Source organism: Homo sapiens, chromosome X (assembly GCF_000001405.40).
Source record: "Homo sapiens chromosome X, GRCh38.p14 Primary Assembly".
Classification (NCBI taxonomy): domain Eukaryota; kingdom Metazoa; phylum Chordata; class Mammalia; order Primates; family Hominidae; genus Homo; species Homo sapiens.
The window spans coordinates 14,821,014-14,836,888 of NC_000023.11; the positions used below are offsets into that span (position 1 = coordinate 14,821,014).

General features: G+C 37.8%; 1 protein-coding gene and 1 pseudogene across 9 annotated transcripts in view; both read right to left on the bottom strand.

The window, feature by feature from the left end:
• The window catches only part of FANCB (FA complementation group B), a 183,546-nt gene that overhangs the window by 131,490 nt on the left and 36,181 nt on the right, over positions 1-15,875 (bottom strand). For 4 of the 9 annotated variants that reach the window (XM_047441922.1, XM_047441923.1, XM_017029356.2 and 1 more), the window contains one exon: positions 12,221-14,737. The exons of the other annotated variants lie outside the window; for them this stretch is intronic. In XM_047441922.1, the coding sequence (XP_047297878.1) occupies positions 14,726-14,737 (12 nt within the window). In that variant the 3' untranslated portion in view covers positions 12,221-14,725. Of the gene's footprint in view, positions 1-12,220; positions 14,738-15,875 lie in introns of those variants that run through there. 9 annotated transcript variants of the gene reach the window in all.
• On the bottom strand, positions 13,145-14,324 carry NPM1P9 (nucleophosmin 1 pseudogene 9; annotated as a pseudogene).

The window sequence follows — 15,875 nt, forward strand, 5'->3', positions numbered from 1 at the left end:
TGTTTTCCAAAATAAATATTGATCATGGGTCTCAGATATATATTCTGAATGCCTAAAATATTCTCTTCATTGCATTACTAGACATGTTATGATGAGTCTGGTCTATACAACTTTTTTTTTTGCTATAAAGATAAAAGTAAATATAGAAAATTAAGATTGTTTTGCCATAAACTGCTTTGGTTCTCAAAAATGCTTTGATTCTCAAAATTCCATAATGCCTACAATGGCTAAAATACTATTCTTAGTTAAGAAACTGCCATATCAATTTAGTTGAAACACACTATAATTGTATCACAGTTCAGTAGTGGATTATGTGTCTTAATTACAGAAAACCCTTAAGAGAGAGAAAAATCATATGAAAAGTGAAGCCCCATGCTGAGGGTGTAAGTCATAAAAGCCAGTTAAGCAGGGAAAAGAGTCTATCTAATTTCATGTTTTAATTATATTTTAAAATATTTGTTCAGAAAATGCCATCCTCTAACAATTAACCCTCAGTCACACAGCTGACAAATAGTTAAGACATATGACATGACATAGACCCTAACAGAGTAAGACAAAACATTCAGTATAATTTATGACATATATAACCTAGTTATTTAAACAGATGATTATTCTGGTTCTCTTTTAGTCTGCTACAAATTCACAAGGGGCTTTTCTTATCATCTGGGGAGTCCTGTTAAGCCCCCAGAACTGAAGCCAATAGGCATCAAGTGTGTATTCATTCTAAAGTCAGCTGCTAACTTAGTGAGAGGTTGCCAGACTGGTTCAGTAACCACTACCTACCCTCAACTTATTTAGGAGAGACCCAGAGAGACAGAAAAATGAGGAGAGGTGATTTCTCAAAGTGAGAAAAAATGAGAGCATCCTGGCATTTTGTTTTCTTCCTCATAGGGACATTCTCTCCTCCTTCAAGCCAGGTCAAGGGGATAGCAAGAAAATCCTTTGAAGAGACGGGAGAAATCCTTGTCAGAAGGGAAGAAGAGCACCTCACTCTGCAGTTGGTGCTTGCTGAGCTGCACATATTCACAGGTTTGCCCTGTCTCACCAGACTAGAGTGCAAGAGGATTCTCAGGAAGACCTGATAGCAATCATAGACCTTTAAGGAGCGCCAAGACTAGTGCCAGACTGTCCTTTGGAGAGGTCTGAGAGCTGCCCCCTGAGAGCTGGGAGAGAAGGAAGCAGTGCAAGCAACTGTACTTCCTGAGATTCAGGGGCATAAGGGTGACAGGTTTCTCTGTAGGCCAAATAGATGCTGTGGGAGGTAGGTAGCCAACTCTGCTTGATTGCCTGATCCTCCACTGATGCCATGGGGGAAAATGGAACAGGGCTGGGGTAGCCTTCACATTATCACTGTAAGGGATTAAACACTTGAATGTTAATTTCATTTTGGCTTGTGGTCTTAATCAACTGCCCTCACAACTGGCAGCTCAGCTCTCTCTAGCTTGCCTGAGCTCCTGACAGAAACTGAGGCCAATGGAGGTTAAAGAACTGGCCTAGTATTCCTAACTAGTAAATGGTGCATCCTAGATTTGAACACTGCCCATTTTCTAAAAAGTAGTCTTTACTTTCTAAGAATAATATACATGATTAGCGAAGAGTAATTAAACCCACAAGATTGAGCTCTTTCAAGCAGAGTTCACAAAATGGTCAACTTCAGCAGAAGACTTGTTACTCATTGCAAATAATACAAAGGGTTCCGGTATTAATTTCCAATCTGACCTCTCCTGAAGCCACGTATGTGGTTAAGGGAAATAACTTTCTTCTGGTTCTACAAACCCTAGAAAATTCCTATTAACTTTATTTCTAGATTTGCTTCCCTCTAATGGTTCTGAAAAATGTTCGTTGCTCTTTTTACCTGAAAAGAATTCTCTCACTATTCTGAACCATGGTAGTTTTTTATTTTGAAGATGGGAATCACATTATATTTGGTGTTAACTTTATACCTGATATATTCAGTAGTTTCAGACATATAGCCTGAAAAATGATTCTACTCTGCAGATTAATATCGCTATGCTAGTTTGCTTTGGGTTAATGTTTGCGTACTATATTTTTGCCTACCCTTTTACTTTTTTTTTTTTTTTTTTTTTGAGACGAGTTTCGCTCTTGTTGCCCAGGCTGGAGTGCAGTGGCGCGATCTTGGCTCACTGCAACCTCAGCCTTCCAGTTTCAAGCGATTCTCCTACCTCAGCCTCCCGAGTAGCTGGGATTACAGGCATGCACCACCACACCCAGCTAATTTTTTGTATTTTTAATAGAGATGGGGCTTCACCATGCTGGCCAGGATGGTCTCAATCCCTTGACCTCGTGATCCGCCCGCCCCGGCCTCCCAAAGTGCTGGGATTGCAGGCGTGAGCCACTGTGCCCAGCTACCCTTTTACTTTTTACCTTTCTGTATCTTACTCTTTAAAATATGTCTCTTGAATGCAGCACAGACACATGAAGAAATGCACAAATAAAACCAACAAATTGTTTCTTTTACCTGGAATGTTCAGTCCCTTTTCATTTAATGTAATTACTGATATAGTTGAACTTACAGCGACCATCTTACTGTTTGTTTTCTATTTGGCCTATCTAGTTCCTTATTTCCTCTTTACTTGCCTTCTTTTCAACTAATTATATTTTTTCTACTTTTTCCTTACATTGATGTTTTGTTAATAATTATTTGTTAAGGTAAATTTACTAAAACAAAATGCACAGATTTTTAAGATATAGTTTGATAATTTTTGACAAATGTACACATTTGGGTAACCACCACCCCAATCAAGATATAGAACATTTCTATCATTCCAGAAAGTTTCCATGACCCCTTCTAGTTAACACCTCCCCCAGTCATACATTTGTTCTAGAACTTCATATAAATGGATGTCATGCTGGACCCCTACACACTCCAATAAGGAGAGCACCAGGTTTGAGAGGCCAAAGAAGAGACCCAGAGCTAGCAAATGAGCCATAGGGTTTTTTGAGGCAAACTTACATACAGGGTGGTCCAGTGGCAGCAGACTGGACAGGAGAACTGCCACTGCCTACAGAAAGCATGCAGTTTATATAGTGTTTTCACTTAACACCCTCCCCCTAACAACCCTTGCCCGAAAACCTTCATTTAATCCAAAATAAAGGGTTTCAATCCCTTGTGCACCCACTTTCCACAGGACAGGGGCTGGAGGCTCAGATGTTCCTCATAGATAAGAAATGAATCTTTGGGTTGGCCACACTGGGACCTCCAAACACACATTTGGGTTTATCTGCCATACAGAGCCATTCTTGGGGTACGCTTAACTTATTGCTGTCAGGTGCATCTATCATACACAAGTATGTCTACCATACAATGGAAACATAAAGTATTTACTCTTTTACGGTTTTTTTTACACATTATGTTTATGAGATTAATCCATGTCTTTGTTCTATTTCTAACTAGTATTCCATGGTAGGAATATAAATTCCACAACCTATTTATTCTGCTATTAAAGGACATTTAGGTTGTTTCCTTCAGAGGCTATTACATATAAAACTATCACAAACATTAGTGTACAGGTGTTTCTGTGGACAAATATTTTCATTTATTTTAAGCAACTACTTAGGAGTGCTAAGTCACAGAGGTTTCTATTAACTTTTGGTGTTTGACTTACAGATCACAAAACACATATTTGGCTTATCACGTCATAATACCTATTATTTTTTCATTTTCCTGATACTTCTAGAACGTAGTAACTTAAAATCTATTTGCTGTCCTAAATTCTTTTTGAGTGTTGTTATGCATTTTAGTTCCGCAAATAAAGTCAAGACATGGCAATTATTGTCTTGTACAGAAATTATTTATATTTACATACTACATGTATTTTCATATGTTGTTCATTACCTCCTGCATTTCCATGTTCTGTCCAAATATTTCTTGTAGAGGAGGACTGCTGGAAAGGAATTCCCTTGGTCTTTGTCTGAAAATGTCTTTATCGTTTCCTTATTTTTGAAGCAAATTTTTGCTAGGCATAGAATTCTAGGCTATTTTTTATAAGCAGTTTTAAAGATATTAATACCACTGCATTTGGGATTTGTTTCTGACAAGACATCAGCTGTCAGTTACATTGTTGCTTCTTTGAAGGCAATCTTCTCCAACCACTTTAAGATCTTCTCAATGACTTTGCCTTTGTTTATCTGATTTTCCATGAAGTGCGTGTGCTTTCTTCTTTTTTTTCCTACTTGGGGTTTTGTGAACTTGAGTCTCTGGGTTGATGTCGTTCATCAGTTTTAAACAAATTATCGGTTATTACCTTTTCAAATAATGCTTTAGCCTTATTCTCTTTCTCCTTTTCCTCTGGGGCTTCAATTGTGTGTATGTCTCACATGTCTATTATATGCTAGTCTTTTTCCCACTTTGTTTTCCCTCTCTGTGTTTCTGTTTAAGTATTTTATATTGATCTATATCTCAGTTTACTAATTCTGGATTCTGCTATGTGCCCTCTCCAGCTAAACTCATTCATTGTTTTTAATTTCAGATATTGCATTTTTTAGTTCCAAACTTTCTGATTCTTATTTAAACATTCCGATGGTTTTCAATTTTCCATCCTTTCATCTTTTGTCCTCTCTATTTTGAACATATCATTTAACATATTATAATTATCTGCTAACATTAATATCTGTCATATCTGTGGATCTGCATTTTTCTCTTGATTTTCATTGTCTTTCATCTTTACATATCTAGATATTATTATATTGTGTGCCAGGCACTGTATATAGAAGAACCATAGATGTTCCAGATAATTTTATCTTCCACCAGAGAGGATTTCCCTTTTACTCCATTAGGCAATAAGAGTGAGTGGTTAATCAACTCAATCCAATCAGAATTTGTGCTTAATCAGAAATATCCTGCAAGTTTAGTAAGATTCAAGCTATCTCTGGTATGTTCATCTTCCTAAATCCTGAAGGCTATACATTGCCTTAGCCCTGGAAGTTAACAGAGACAGTTCTGTCCTTCAAAAGTTTTCAGCTTAGCTCTTTAGCCTCCTACTTCATTCAGTTTCAAAACTTGGCAAATGTCTTGAAAGGGAAACCAGCCATGTGTTTTAAGTAGAGCTCCTCCCTGGCAGCACTGTACAATTTAAAGAAATTTCAATCTGCCTTTTAGAAGTTTTGGGGCTAGCTCTCCCATTTCTTGTGTAACCACAGAACTATGAAAATATTCCAAGATGAAAACTGTTTGTGCATTTAAGCCTCCTCCATATTTTAATCTGTCATGACAGCACCATACAGCTGCTAAAAGGTTGCTGACTTCTGTCCCCAAGCAGAAGCCCTTTCCTTGGACTAAGCCTGTTTCACAGCCTGTCCCTAGAGAAACAAAGAGTGTACCGTTATTAAGTTACTTTGGAATAATTCTCCCTTTTCTGTAATTTTAGCTCATCTAGACCTTATTTCCACAGCTCTCCATTGCCTTTAAGATGATTTCTGTAATGTATCCAGTTTTGTCTAGTGGGAGAGTATGCCTGTAGCAACCTATTTTATTTCACTCTTAAGTGAAAGTCATTTTTTCAATGTAATTTTAATCTGCATTTCACTTGAGTGAAGTTGCACATGTTAAGAGTTCACTTGCATTTCTTTTTCTGTTAACTATTTTTAAGTTTCCTTGCCGCTTTTTCTATTGACTCTTTTCATTTTCAAGACATTTTCTCTGTATTATCGAGATTAGTTCTCTGAGACAGGAGTCACAAATAATGTTTTTCCAGTGTGTATCTTGTCTTTTAACTTATGTTGTTGTTTTTTAATTGAAGATGTTTTGGCTTTTTGTATGTGACTGAATTTCATGGCTTCTGACTTTTGTGACATAGATTGATGAGTCTTCCCTACTCTAAGTTAGTAAGAAAATTATCCCTTGCTTTCATCTAATATTTTTGTTTCTTTTTTTTACATTTGAAATTTTGTTCTATTTCAAATTGATCATGCTGATAGGCACATCCCTTCCTTTCTCCCCAGATGGCTACTTAGATTTCCTAAGATCATCTTTTCCTCACTAAAGTGGAATGTCATCATTATCATATGCTAAATTCTCATGTGTATCTGATCCTATTTCTGAACTTTCTATTCTATTGTAGCAGGTGTCTATTTGCACACTAGAAACAAACTTTTATTGATATTATATATTTTAATATCCAGCACAGTGGATCTCTATTCCCCACATGCTTTTCTTTTTCAGAGTTTTCATAGCTTTTCTGGCTTGCAAATTTTTCCACAGAATTTTAGAATCAGCTTGATTTGTGCCTTAGACAGCTTATTGGTATTTTTATCAGGAGTGAGTTAAATCTGTAAACTAACATAGAGAGAATTGACAGTGACGTTTAGTTTTCCTATCCAAGGATATGATATATATTACTATTTTAAAGCCATTTTTTGAAATCTTTTAGTATTATTTAAATGGCTTTTTTCATTCAGATCTTACACATTTCTTGTGATTAGTACATTTTAGTTGTTAATGTAATTATATTTGCTTTCTTATATAGTCTCATTTTGAAGACAACAGATTGGAATGAACTTTTCAATACCTGAAAATGAGATTGCTCTTCAGTACCTAAAAGTACCAAAGAAGCCACAGTGATGAACCAGAATTACTATCTGAGGGTAAAGAACGAAGGCTGCTCTCATTGAGGTCAGCCCATTTAATACAAATTGTTTTCACAAAGTGGGATAGATTTATTGAAGGATTTCAAACTATTCTTCCAAAATCCTCTATATAATTAATCCAAAATAAAAACCTGTGAGTACTCCTTGACTACTCCTGCTCCTTCCACTGACCATCTCATGGTTTTTAACTAATGATGAGCACCAAAATCACACTTGTAGCTTTAAAAAATACATATAGCTAGGCCTTACTCTTGATGATTCTAGTTCAGATATAAAGCAAGTCTAGGAATACCTCCAAGACATTTTGGGTTCAGTTCTAAACCACCAAAACAAAACAAATATTTCAATAAAGTGAGCCACATATTTTTTTGGTTTCCCAGTACATATGAAAGTTATGTTTAATGTTTAAATTATACTTTAGTCTACTAAGTGTATAACAGCATTATGTCTAAAAACCATAATATATATAATACATTAATTTAAAAATACTTTATTCCTAAAAAAGGCTAACCATCACCTGGGCCTTCAGCGAGTTGTAATTTTTTTTGCTAGTCGAGGATCTTTCCGTGATGTTGATGGCTGTTGACTGATCAGGGTGGTGGTTGCTGAATGTTGAGGTGGCTGTGGCAATTTCTTAAAATAAGACAACAATGAAGTTTGCCATGTTGAATGGCTCTTGCTTTCAGGAAAGATTTCTCTGTAGCATGTAATGCCATTTCATTGCATTTTACCCACAGTAGAACTTCTTTCAAAATTGGAGTCAATCCTCTCAACCCCTGCTGCTGCTTTATCAACTAAGTTTATGTACTAAGTCCTTTGCTGTCATTTCCATAATGTTTACAGCACCTTCACCAAGAGTAGATTCCATCTCAAGAAACTACTTGCTTTGCTTATCCATAAGAAACAACCCCTCATCCATTCAAGGTTGATCATGAGATTGCAGCAATTCAGTCACATCTTCAGGCTTCACTTCTAGTGCTAGTTCTTTTGCTATTTCCACCACATCTGCAGTTACTTCCTCCACCAAGTCTTCAATCCCTTAAAGTCATCCATGAGGGCTGGAGTCAACTTTTCCCAAACTCCTGTTAAAGTTTATTTTTGTTGTTGTTGTTGTTGAGACAGTCTCTGTCACCCAGACTGGAAGTGCAGTGGAGCAATCACAGCTCACTGCAGCCCTGTCCTCCCAGGCTCAAGAGATCCTCCCACCTCAGCCTCTCGAGTAGCTGGGACCACAGATGTGCACCATCTTACCTGCCTATTTTTATATTTTGTAGATACAGGGTCTCCCTATGTTGCCCAGGCTGGTCTCAAACTCCTGGAACCAAGGTATTCCTCCTGCCCTGGCCTCCCAAAGTGTTGGGATTACAGGTGTGAGCTACCATACCCAGCTGAATGTTGACATTTTGACCTCCTCCCATGAATCACAAATGTTCTTAATGGCATCTAGAATGTTGAATTCTTTCCAGATAATTTTCAATTTACCCAGATGCATCAGAGGAATCATTATCTATGGCAGCTATAGCCTTACAAGATGTATTTGGGTGTCCAGGAACATTGTCAATGAGCAGTAATATTTTGCCAGAAATCTTTTTGTTCTGAGCAGTAGATCTCAACAGTGGGCTTAAAATATTCAATAAACCATGTTGTAAGAAGATGTGCTGTCACCCAGGCTTGTGGATTCATTTACAGAGCACAGGAAGAATAGATTTAACATAATTCTTAACAGTCCTAGGATTTTCAGAATGGTAAATAAGCATTGTCTTTAAGTCATCAGCTACATTACTCCCTACCAAGAGAGTCAGCCTGTCCTTTGAAGTTTTGAAGCCAGGCATTGACTTCTCTCTAGCTATGAACATCCTAGATAACATCTTCTTCCTGTAGAAGACTGTTTTATTAAAAATCTGATGTTTAGTATGGCTACCTTTATTTGTGACCTTAGATCTTCCAGATAACTTGCTGCAGCTTCTATATCAGTACTTGCTGCTTCACCTCACACTTTTGTGTTATAGAGACGGTTTCTTTCCTTAAACATCATGAACCAACCTTTTCTATCTTCCAGCTTTTCTTCCAATTCCCTCACCTCTCTCAGCTCTCACAGAATTGAAGAGAGTTAGAGAGTGCTCTGGTTAGGCTTTGGCTTAAGGGAATACTGTAATAGAAGAATGTTGATCTATCCAAATCACTCAAGCATTCTCCATACCAAAGATAAGGACGTCTTGCTTTCTTAGTATGTTCACTGAAGTAGCACTTTTAATTTCAAGAACGTTTCCCTTGCATTCATGGGTTGGCTAACTGTTGCAAGAAGCCTAGCTTTTAGCTTATCTTGGCTTCCAACTGCCTTCCTCACTAAGCTTAATCATTTCCAGCTTCTGATTTCAAGTGAGAGACATGCAACTCTTCCTTTCACCTGAATACTCAAGAGGCCACTGTAGGCCTCACTTCAATATTGATGTGTATCGGGGAATAGGAATGTCTGATGAGAGGGAGAGAAACAGGGTAACGGCCGGTAGGTAGAGTAGTCAGAACACACATGTTGATCAATTAAGTTTGCCATCTTATATGGGTGTGGTTTGTGGCACCCCAGAACAATTACAATAGTAGTGTCAAAGATCACTGATCACAGATCACCATAACAGACGTACTAATAATGAACAAGTTTGAAATATTGCAGGAATTACCAAAATATGACACAGAGACACAACATGAGCACCTTATGTCAGAAAAATGGTGCTGGTAGACTTGTCTGATGCAGGGTTGTGGAGCTTTCAATTTGTAAAAAATGTAATATATGTGAAGCACAAAAAAACAAGGTATGCCAGTTATATACATGTCTTTGTGTACATGTACATACACACATATTTAGCTCCAGTGATTCTGGTTCCCCACCCTTTAAGAACCATTAATAAAAGAAAAACTAAGTCCAACTGACAATATATCCTAAATATCTCTGCAATACACTTCATCCTTACCTTTGCAAATTTAAATCAATACTTCATCACCTCACATCTAGACCACTCTAGCAATACCCTCATTCCAGAATCTACTTTGCCTCTTACTGTCCTGCCTCCAAACAGCTGACATGGTCACCTATGTAAAAAAGCTGACCATGCCACGTGCCGACATAAATTCCTTCAAGATTCCCCATGTGCGGTGCCTAAATATTTATCCGCTGATGGATGCCCATCCATACCTTTCCACTAGTGTGTTGCACAATGAGACTGAGAAAAATAAAGACAATGTGATTTTTCCATGAAACCAAATGTATTCACTTTAAATTATCTGTATTCTATGATTACACATTTAGTATCACTATATTCTTTGTTTTATGAAATCATGGTGGCAGGGGTAACATTTTTTAATGTCCTGACCTGGCAAAACAAAAAGGTTGTGAACTTTATGTTAGTCTCCACAGTGTTTAAAATGACACTTGCCAATGTGATCAAAAATTCTGGGAACCACTGACTGCAGAATGAAGTACAAGCTCCTTAATGGACCCTCATCTCTGACACAAAGACTAGCCCCTTACTTTCTTAAAACTGTAATACATTTCATTCATTCATGTTTTCTTGAAAAAATTACACTAATATTAGTTTACCACCCACTATGTGCAAAGCATTATGTTAGATGGGATACAAAGATGATCAAGACAGAAAATGGGCTCCGCCTAAAAGGAAGTTAGAGTACTAGGGGTTTTACCTTTTGGAGTCAACAAGCCATGATTTCAAATTGGTGTTAACTATATGACCTGTCTATAATTATTATTAGCTATTAAATTATACCTGTGAACACTGCAAAGAAATGAATCAAGAGCTGAGAGGTGAGAAATGAATGGGTATAAAACTAGGTGAATGGGAAAGTAGGATTGAAGAGAAAGCAGTATAAGCAATGGAAACTGCCTGTCCAGAGTTTGAGGTAGGAGGCAAATCGCTGGTGCTTGAACTGAAAGGATGTCAGAGACTACAGCCCACAGAGATGGGGAACGGAATCTTAGCTAGACTCATGAGGTAGGCTAGATGACACCATACCTTGCTTGCCACATAGGGAATTTGATCTTCATTCTAAAAGTAATGGGAAGTCATTGAATGAACACTGAAACAGTGGAAAGATGATGAATAGTTTTTCAGCAGTGGATGATCAGACTTGTGCTTTGACAAGACAACTGTGGCAGCAGTCTGTAGAACAAAACCGGAAGGAAGCAAGAGTAAAAACAAGGAGACAAGTTGGGAAGCTGCTGAAATAGTCCAGGTTAGAAATAATGGTAGCATGAAATAGGGAGTAGCAACGAAGATGAGGAAAACTCAAAAAAAATTAAAAGATATTTAGGAGAACAGACTGACCACTAACAATCATGTTTACAGTCCCCTGGAAACATCATGGTGTTTCATTTTTTGTTGCCTTTAGAATGACCTACCCTCCTTCTTCCAACATACACTTGATTTTCTAATTTCTAAAAGTAATGAATGTTGTACTAGTTTCCTAGGGCTACTGTAATAAAATACCAAAAACTGGGTGGCTTAAAACAACAGAAATTTATTGTTCCTCAGTTCTGGAGGCTAAAAGTCTGAAATCAAGGTGTTGGCAGAGCCAGGCTCCCTCTGAAACCTTTCTTACCTCTTCCTACCTTCTGGTGATTTGCAGGCAATATTTGGCTTGCAGCTACATAACTCCAGCCCCTGCCTTGTCATGAGCATTTTCCCTGTGTCTCTGTATTAACGTGGCCATCTTCTTAAAAGGACACCGTGAGTCACTGGAATGCAGCCCACCCTACTCCAGTATGACCTCATCTCAACCACATCTGCAACAACCCTATTTCTAAACAAGGCCACATTCTGAAGTACCAGGAGTTAGAACCTCAGCATATCTTTTTGGGGGGACATAATTCAACCCATAAATAAATGCCTACACAAAAAACTGTAGTAGTAGCAAACAGTAAAATGTGAAGTCTCCCTCTCTATCTTCACGCCTAAGCCAATTAATACAGGGTATTCAACTGGCCATAGATATTAGTTCAGGATTGAATGTGTGAATGAATGTGGGGCAGTAAGACATGAGGGAAGATTTTCCTTTGGAAAAGAAGGTTCCTCACTCTTCCATAAAGCTCTCTTCTGGATGGAGTGGTGTGCAGATGTGTATCTTGGAAGTGTTTCAGCCCTTCCATAACATGTGGGGGGCCAACTTTAGGAGGAAGCTGACAATCTCCTTAATATCCTGCTAAGCTGCTGAATCAAACTGACTCAAGCTTGAATGCTTTCCACTGGTTACAACAACCATTATATGTCTTTCATGTGTAAATTTGTTTTGAGTTGGGTTTTCTTTTAGTGTAAGTCTTAATGAATAAAGGATATTAGGCATTGTACAATCATCATCTTCCCATTGCTTCTGCGTTCAGAGTAATTTCTCATTTAGGAATTAAAGAAAACATATCCTTCCTTCCACAATGATTATTTACATAAGGCATGAACAATAACCTAAATGGTAAAATGTAAAAAAAGAAAAAGATTAAGTTCATGTATCTTTTCATTTTCCTTTCATCACCAAAGATGCTGGAACACAGATGATGCAGGGAAATACTTTTGTACAAAATTTCTATCAATGAAAGCACAACACCAGCAAAGATGGATTACCTTGTATTTATCCATTGAAAGAACACATCGGATGGTGAGGACTTTTTGGAATGACAACAAAGCTCTATTTGAATACTTGAATTTTCCCCAAAACAAAAGCCCTGACTTTGAAGAGGGTTACTTATTACCTTGAGTCTCAAAGTGTGGCCCATGAACCAGCAGAATCTGCATCGACTGAGAGCTTGTTAGAAATGCAGTCTCAGGCACCACCCTAGACTTACGGAATCACAAAGTAGAGTTCAACAAGATCTCCAGGTGATAGTATGTATGTTAAAGTTTGAGAAGCACTAGCTTACTACATTGTTAAGACAATGATGCTACTAAAAATGAAAAATCTGTGAAGCCCTGCGCCCTGAAATGGTCAAGCTGATTGTACAGCAGTGGCTCTTAACCCTGGCTGTACATTAGAATCACCTGGGGAGGCTGGGTGTGGGGGGGGTTCACACCTGCAATCTCAGCTAAAATCCCAACTTTGGGAGGCCAAAGTGGGCGCATCGCCTGAGCCCAGGAGTTCCAGACCAGCCTGGGCAGCATGGTGAAACCTCGTCTCTTAAAAAAAAATAAAAATAAAAACCACTATTTATATATGTACACACAAAAATTAGCTGGGTGTGGTGGTGGGCACATGTGGTTCCAGCTACTCAGGGGTGCTGAGGTGGGAGGATCACTTGTGCCTGGGAGGTAGAGGCTGCAGTGAGCTGAGATTGTGCCAGTGCACTCCAGCCTGGGAAACAGAGTGAGACCCTGTCTCAAACAAAAACAAAAACGACAACAAAAAAATCACCTGGGGAGCTTTTAAACTGATGCCAAGGCTCAAGGCAAAACCCCCCTAAACCACATGGATCAAGATCTTTCTTTGAGGTGGGGCATAAGATCAGAAAAACATTTTAAGAAGCCCTTGGGTGATTTTTTTTTTAATTAAAATACTGAGTTTTATTTCACATGTATATTTCTGTCTCCCCACCATTTCCATGTCTGACCACCGCTACTACTATGTCATATCATAACATTCCATACATACTTAAAACAAGAAAGGGTGGAGTTCCATCTTTAAAAACTAAACAGACATGTTGGACAACACATTCTTCACAATGGAACCTGGACAACATTTATCAAACACGGAAGGGAAAGTTCTCACTCTGCATTATAAAAAGGACAGCCAGATATCAACTGTTATGGAAATGAAATAAGATGGAAAATTTTTAATAAATTGTTTAAACTATTTTCTTAAAGAGACTTCCTCCACTGCCAGAGATCTTGAATAGCCTCCTGGTCAGTCACCCAGAAGCAATTCTTCACATAACTGATGAACTTGGCTTCCCTTTGGGAAGAGAACCACCTTTTTCTATGCTTGCTTGCATTTTTGCTTTAACGTCTTCTACAGAACTAGGTCCCTTTGGTGTTTTAGGAGTTTTTTCCTGTTTTTTGAAGGATTCTTGTCCTTTTTATCTTGGTGTTGATGATGGTTTTGAGTCTTTTCCATTCTGATTTGACTTGTGTGCATTTTTGGCTGTAGTATCTTGTATAGATTTCTTCACTGGTGCTTTTTCTTCAGTTTCCTCATCATCAAAATCATCATCATCATCATCATCTTCATCAGCAACAAGTTTTACCTTTTTCTGTGGAAACTTGCTACCACTTCCAGGGACCAACTGCTTTCCAGATATACTTAAGAGTTTCACATTCTCCTCCTCTTCATCTTCTGACTCTGCATCTTCCTCCACAGCTACTAAGTGCTGTCCACTAATATGCACTGGCCCTGAATCACACTTCAACTGTAAGAGCGCTGGTGGTGTTATTTCAAAGCCCCCAAGGGAAAGCTTTGGCTGTACAGACATTTTCAAAGTTGCCAGTGTTAACTTTAATTGGACTGCCTTTGTAATTCATTGCCTCTTCTTCAACAATGTGCAGTTCATCCTTTGCACCAGTCCCTAAACAGACCGTTCTTAAAGATAACTGGTCTCATTTTCATCATTATCCACCTTAAAGTGATCATCTTTATTGGCCTTTAGTTCACAACCGAAAAGTTAGTTCTGGGGCCTCAGGGGGCTCATGTCCATGTCCATCGAATCTTCCATCAGGTGGCTACATGCACTTAGGTGGGAGAGAAGGTGGACAGAGATAAACGACCCCAGCTCAAGAGAAGAGCCGCGCAGGACAGAATCACACCTGGGCGGGTGATTCTTATATACAACTGTGGCTGAGAATTATTAGTGTAGAGCAGCAGTTCTCAAACTTGAGTGTGTATCAGAATAACCTAGAGGGCTTGTTAAGATACAGATTACCATGCCCAACTCTCAATTTCTGATTTAGCAGGTTTCGGGTAGGGCCCAAGAATTAGCATTTCTAATAAATTCTCAGATGTTACTGATGCTGTTCCTCCAGGACCACACTTTGAGAACCACTGATGTAGAGAAAAAAAAGTGACTGAACTGGAAACTCAAAAGGCTGCCCAGGGTCTCTCAAAGGCAAAATAATTCATTACCTCACACCCGTTAGGATGGCCACTATCAAAAGAACAGAAAATAACAAGTGTTAGGAAGGATGCAGAGAAATTGGAATCCTTGTACACTGTTGGTGGGAATGTAAAATAGTGCAGTTATTATTAAAAATAGTACAGAGGTTTCTCAAAAAATTGAAAATAAAATTACCATATGATCTAGCAATCTCACTTCTGTGTATATATCCAAAAGAACTGAAAATAGGATCTCAAACAATTATTTGCACACCCACGTTTATTGCAGTATTATTCACAACAGCCAAGAAGTGGAAGCAACCTAGATGTCTAACAGATGGACAGATAAACAAAATGTGATATATGTATACAATGGAATACTATGCAGCTTTAAACAGAAGGAAATAGTGTCACAAGCTATGACACGAATGAACCTCAAGGACATTATGCTAAGTAAAATAAGCCAGGTACAAAAATATAAATACTCTATGATTCCACTCACATGAAGTATCTAAAGTAGTCAAAATCATAGAAAGTAGAAAGGTGGTTGCCAAGAGCTGGTGGAAGAGAGAGAGGAAATTAACGCTCAATGGGTATAGAGTTTCAGTTTTGCAAGATGAAAAAGTTCTAGAGATCTGCTATACAACAACATGAATATATTTAACACTATTGAACTATATGCTTAAAAATTGTTAGGATGATAAATGTAATGTTTTTTCAACTACAACAAATAAATAGGGCAAAATAATTGAGGTAATCGATTTTTAAAAGCTATTTGCTTTAATGTACATGCATATGTTATTTAAATTTTTACAACAAATCTTATTTCTAAAAAGCTTTAAAGATAATTATTTTACAGTTCCGCAATAAAATAAACCAATTTTTCAACCAAGAAATACTTCAAAATCATGATTTAAATATTTTAGACCCCTTTTTGCTATTCAAAGTGCTTTGGTTTGAACTTTTTTCTCTGTGTAGACATTTTTCTCTGAGATTCTCTCTGAATGATGAGGTAAAACACCATTATATTAAAATACCACTTTAATCTTACAACCGCCCCCAACATGAAATCCTTAGCTTTTGTCAGAACCCCAAAGAGTCCTCTTATCCAAAATTAAGAACTGCTCTCAGAGGATATCCCTACTGGGTATAGTGCCCTATAAGGGTGTTCCCATGGAACTTCAGTAAAA